General features: G+C 45.2%; 2 annotated features.

The window, feature by feature from the left end:
* Positions 4,170 to 4,670: an enhancer, noted in NCBI's record as "H3K4me1 hESC enhancer chr2:169967035-169967535 (GRCh37/hg19 assembly coordinates)". NCBI's record gives its function as "activates a minimal SCP1, AML or CMV promoter by ChIP-STARR-seq in naive H9 embryonic stem cells {active_cell/tissue: H9 hESC(naive)}" and the evidence as "EXISTENCE:reporter gene assay evidence [ECO:0000049][PMID:30033119]".
* Positions 4,671 to 5,171: an enhancer, noted in NCBI's record as "H3K4me1 hESC enhancer chr2:169966534-169967034 (GRCh37/hg19 assembly coordinates)". NCBI's record gives its function as "activates a minimal SCP1, AML or CMV promoter by ChIP-STARR-seq in naive H9 embryonic stem cells {active_cell/tissue: H9 hESC(naive)}" and the evidence as "EXISTENCE:reporter gene assay evidence [ECO:0000049][PMID:30033119]".

Below are 6,000 nucleotides of genomic sequence, written 5' to 3'. Positions count from 1 at the left end.
CAAGCCTGTGGTGGCATCACTCCTCTAGTACTTACTTTTTGGAGTGGTTGCCCTGTTAGAAAACCTGGTTCATGGAGGGCCAGGTCATTTTTATTTGTAGGTTAATTCATCCTTTGCTAAATACAACACAGTCCTGGCTCGGCAAATTGTTCTGTTCAATTCTCACAAATCAAGCATGCTAGAACGTGATAGCAGCATCAGATGAAATTTAGAGACATACCATGATGCTCCTTCTGGATTCCTCACCAGGGCCTGTGTTCCCATCTCCCAGCTGCGGAGAGCTCACAGCTGTGCTCCTCGATGGACTTGCCCTCAGCCAGGATGCTGCCTCACTCTAGGCTACGAGGGCAATCAAGGCCAAGGTCAGGCTGATGTGGTGAGCCAATGGCTTGATCTTCATGTCAGTTTGGGACAACTCGGAAGGATCATTCCCAGCTTCAGAGTGTCCTATGGGATTGATTGAGGCCTCCATGGCAATTGCACCACAATTCAGCCCTTCTTTTTGCCCTATCCTCCCTTCCTCCCATCTTTACAGCTACATGCATAGCTTTCCAGAACATTTGCGAAGTCTTACAAAACTAATGCTTAACTTCATAAAGGGACATATCCAAGCATCTTTCTCTGAATGAGAGGGTGAAAAGAAAGTCACACACTTCTATAATCTGTACACTAACTGAGTAGAAAGGGTGTAGGTTAGCAATGGCACAGGAAGTTGACTTTTCACCAGCAAGGGGAAAAAAGTTTTGTTGCCTAGGAGTCTCTGCATTATGAGTGCAGTTAAGCTACCTGGCCTTGAGGATCACCGTGTCTGGAGTCAGATGGCACCTGAGCATCCTCGACTCCCTGTGAACTGCTTCTGCGGGGAAGAACACTGTCTAGTGCCCAGCCTTCACAGAATCTCCCCAGTCAGCTTTGCAAAAGAAACCACTGGATTGTGAAATTTCAGAAACAGATGAGAGCTTAGAGGTCATTCCATCTCGTCATTTCCAACATGGAATCTCCAGACTTAAAAAGCAGAATTGGAGTTCTTCAAGTTATTTTCAATACTTTAAAAAGCCAAATTGAAATGATGTGTTTACCATTTAATAGCAGGAGCTAACAGGCTCATCAATACCAGTAAGTCAGTTTAATCTTTAGTTCAACAAATTAACAAATTAATTAATCACGTACTTGATGCTAGACCTGGAAGATACAGAGATGAATAGGCAGATGAATTCCTGGCCCATATAGAGGTTGACTTTCTAGAGGTCCAGATAGACAAAACCAAGTAAACAGGTAGACTTATTTAAAAAGATATGATGGCTAGGATGAAGAAAGAAAAGTAATCAATAATGTGACACAGAAAAACAGACAGTGGAATCTAGAAAAAGGAGTTAGAAAGGACCTTGCTGAAACTGATACCTTTCATTTGTCTTAATTAGTTAAAAATGGAAAACAAATGAAATGATCCATACAACAGACCCCCATGACACAGGTTTACCTATGTAAAAAACCTGCACATGTACCCTTGAACTTAAAATGAAAGAAAAAAAAGCCAATTACAAAGCTGCATGGGTTAATGGCAATGACTTTTGGTTGCATGTAATTCATGAACTTATGTTAACTTGTGGGAAAATAAGGTCTGGCTCCTGACAAAATAAACTACTTACAATTACATGAAAAAAAGGAAAACAAAGTAATTGTTACTCAATAAATACAATTATTTTGACAGATGATAGTTTTCAACGTGTGGGTACCCTATAGAATTGACAAAAATGGGTCTTCTTATATGAAACAGTTAAAACCACTGATCTAATTCCATCTCTCATTTAAGAAATAGAAAAACAGGCAACTTGGTGAGATCACATCACTGATCTTTGGCCAACTGGGAATAAGACTTAGGTCCCCTACGCCTTACTATGGGGCTCTTCCCATTGTATCATGCCTTGAATCGCAGAGATGGCCTAGAAACCGTGTGGAGCATGTTGCAGAGATGTGACTCTGCATTGAAGCCTCCTTATTCAATCCTCTGCCTCTTATTCACAGTGTGATCTTGGGAAGGCTGTTTTATGCATCAGTTCCTTCCTCTATAAAATGGGATGCTGATAACACTACTTCCCTGAGGTTGTAGTACCTGTCCAGTGAAGGAGCCGAGGCACCGAGATGACTCAGCTCATCTGCAAGAGCGGGGAGAAAGGACAAAGGCCAAGGGTAGTTAACCCACAGGCGCATCTGCTCAATCAGGAAACAGCCTCAGCCCGTGGGGCTGAAGACCTTGCTGCTCCAATGTTGCTCTGGTATTGTTCCTGGGAAGGTCACCTTTGGTCCCTGGGCCTCCCTTTTCCCTCCTAAAAAATGTGACTCCTACTATCCGTCCCCATCTCAATAAGGAAAGATAAAATCCAAAAAGTGTTAAAAGGTGTTGACCCTTTGGAGAAGGTTTCTGTGTAGAACGCAGGGGTGGAAAAACGTTTTTCTCACCCATCTCTAGGCTCATGACTGAGGGCCCTATAACAAAGGCAGGTTAACAAGAGAGAAAGGCATGTACATTTATTTAATGCAAGTGTTATGTGACATGGGAGCTGTCAGAAATGAAGGCCCAAAGAAACAAGGAAACATGTATTTTTATGGTTAGGTTTGATGGAAAGTGGAGAAGGATTATCCAAGGAGAAGGATAATTGGAGAACAAATAGATAAGATCTAATGGTAATAAACCAGGGAAGCTTAGCAAGGCCTGTTTGTTCAGATTCTTCTTGGCATCTCTGGGTCCTTGGTAACTCTTCTCTGAGTGTAGGGAAGGTAACTCTCAAATGAAGGTCTTATGACCTGCTTCAGAGGGAGATCAGGAAATCCTTCCTAGGTTTTATAACAGGTTTCCAGAGACTGGGGGGCAGGGAGGTGAAAGTGACCTTCTTGCTTCTGTTGTTTTTCAAATGCTAAGATGCCATTTATTTATTTTTAGAGACAGAATCTCACTCTGCCACCCACGCTGGAGTGCAGTAGTATGATCATAACTCACTGCAGCCTCATAGTCCTGGGCTCAAGGGATCCTCTTGCCTCAGCCTCTCAAGTAGCTGGGACTATAGGTGCAAGCCCTCATTCCTGGCCAATTTTTAAATTTTTTTCTAGAAACTGGGTCTCACTGTGTTGCCGAGGCTAGTCTCAAATTCTGGGGCTCACGTGATCCTCCCACCTTGGCCTCCCAAAGTGCTGGGATTATAGGTGTGAACCCCTGTGCTCATAAGATGCCATATGGACATGATGTAGCATGTCCTGAACCCCATCAAGGGGTAGTGTCCACAGAAGCAGCAGGTGCATGTTTGTGTCTTATATGAAGGGAAAGGCCAGAGGTCAGAGCAGGAGAGTAAAGGGCTGGGAGATGGAGAGTGCAGGTGAGTGAGTGTGGATTGGGGACATGGAGGTCATTGTTTACCAGCATGCAGAGGTGGAACCTGGGAGGGTTTCTTTTTTATCCATGTTAGTATTGTCATCCCATTCCATTTGATGCAAGGCTACCTCTTCCTGGTTCCGTGCTATCAGTTAAAACATAGTCTCTCCCCTGTTTCCAGCTCTTCATCTCATGGCACTATCCCTACAGCAAAAGCTCGAAGTCCCCTGCTCTCTGAGGATACCAAGGCAAAGAAATGCCCATGAACTCTGATTCCTCTTAGAGGGTGCCAGGAATTTTGAAACAGATGTAATTCATCTTCTAAGGACTTCAACAAGTGTTGTTTGTTTCTTCCCCATTCAGCTGTTTGTAGTAGGCTTAGTTTGACAGCTGATTCAGGTTGTATTGAGATTGTCCCTCTCCCACTGGCAGGGCACTTTGCTAGTGCCACTGGCAGGTTGGCTAGTCAACACCTGCTCTGTGCTTGCCCTTGTTCTCAGAGCGCTAGGGACAGGAGAGCCTTACCGCTCACGTTCCTGTCTCAGAAAAGCAACGGATAATGATGTAGAATTCGTTTTTATAATGATGTATAGCCAGCAAATTCCCCAAACTCGCGTCACATCTTATTATAGAGACGTGCTTGCCTCTGGGGCGTCTCCTTGCAGGCCCATCTCAGGCGAGCAGCCAAACAAAGGAAGAGGCACGGAAGGCAGAGCGGCAGGAAGGAGGCTGTAAGGAAACGATGTGCACAATCGCCGCCTGGCAAGCTCACAGCCATCCCCGCAGTAAGCTTCCCCGGGATTTCCTGAAGGCCTCGATGGGGGCTTTGTAGCAAACTTTAGCTTTTTATACATCTCGGTAGCAATGAAAATAGAGCAACTGAGGTTGATTGATGGAGCTGAGTGGTGCCTATTATTCATCCCAAAGCTTTTGTTAGAAAGGGGAGGTGAAAATATCCTTAGCCCTAAGCGGTCCCTGCTTCTAGTTGAGACCCCAGCCCTATCTCTCTCTGGTTTGAAAAGTGCTTGGCTCCAGCACAAGGAGGTCGGTGGGAGAAACCAAGCGAAGGTCGTACCACTTTTTTTTTCCCCTTTATTTTATGTTAGTCATGGTAAGTGGCTGGATTTTTAAAACGATCCAAAAGCATGAAGTGGGAGCCTGAAGTATTCTTATTTGCATATTAATGCCAAGCCTGTGTTGCCAGCACCCAGTTATTTCAAAGGCTGTTGCCAAGAGCACAGCTTTGAAAGGCCTCAGCGCAGAGGCGGGCACCTGGGGCCTCTGCCCTAGGCTTCACCAAATGACAGCACACGGCTCCTTCTTTCTGCTGCTCTCTGGGCTTCCTGGGTGCAACAAACAACAGCTTCTCCAAGTGGCCAACTTCACCCATGCCTGTTCCCTCTCCACAAAGGTGAACAAATGCAGCGAACTGAGGCGCGGGAGATGGGCAGCGCTTTGGATATGGGGGCTATTTTTCTTGTATACCTTGGAGTATTTTTGATCAATTGGCTTTTTATTACGTTTATCATTGATCGACTGTGTTCTGGTTACTCCGGGTTATCCTAGACCTTAGCAATGGCTGGGCTGCGAGGATGGCGGTTTTCCATCAGACAGTGGAGTGGGGACCTGTCCTTTTATATGTTCAGTATTGTCATAGCACTACTGAACTAGGAGTATGTTGGCTTTAGGTTGTCCAAAACAGCTTGCCTACTAGATAATCCCAGTAATTTAACCAGGTTTCTTTCAAACCATGGTAGATTTTGGTCCATTTAAGTGAAACTTCTTAGAGGACGGACTTGTTCCTTTCCAATATGACCAAACAGGGGCTGCGGGACGCTTACTGGGATCCCAGGTATTTTGTGGGCATAGGGCGCCCCCTAGTGTCCAATTGAGAGCACTGAGCTTGCGTGCTCTAATCCTGGCAAAAAATTGAGCCCAGGTGCGGGAATAAGGAGAGGAATCTCAACTGATTTTCACTCATTCCCTGGGCCAGGGTGTTGCGGGGAGGGATGGAAGTGGGGAGGGGGAGCCCGCTCAGGAAGCAGCTTGTCCAGTCCCCTGGAAGCTGCATCCAGACCACAACCACTGGGAGGGAGAGTGATCTGTGTCCAGGACTTCTTTACCCACCGAATATTCAGAGGAGACCAAGTTCACGCAGTGGAAAGAGGTTGGATTTGGGAGTTAAAGAGACTAGGGTTCAACTCCTAACTTAGCCATTAACCAGTAGCGTGACCCTGCACTAAGCACTTAACCTTATTGATGGCGATAATTTCAAAATGGTGGCAGGAATAAGTGTTATTTCAGGGTGATAAGGAGAATCCTGTGAGAGTAAAGACAGCATCTGTGAAGTGCCTGCCACTCTCAGCAAACGTTAGACCCCTCTGCCTGTTGGCTGTCTCTCATCCGAAATCTGAAACTGCTTCCATGGGCTGTGTTCATGAATATGCCATGTCTGTCTATAAAAATATAGAGAGGATTTTTTTTGGTGTGTTTTTGGATGTTTTAATGGATTTTTCAAAGTAAATCTTAAGGTTTACCCTAAAATAGCTCATGCAACCATTTCCAGCTTAGATGTGGCCATTTGCTCTTTGACAATTACGAGAAACTGTTAGGCTGTAGCCTTGGAGCCTGGG

This window comes from Homo sapiens, chromosome 2 (genome assembly GCF_000001405.40).
Source record: "Homo sapiens chromosome 2, GRCh38.p14 Primary Assembly".
Lineage (NCBI taxonomy): Eukaryota > Metazoa > Chordata > Mammalia > Primates > Hominidae > Homo > Homo sapiens.
The sequence above is the reverse complement of the archived record's forward strand: the minus strand, read 5'-3'. Positions and strand labels throughout refer to the sequence as shown.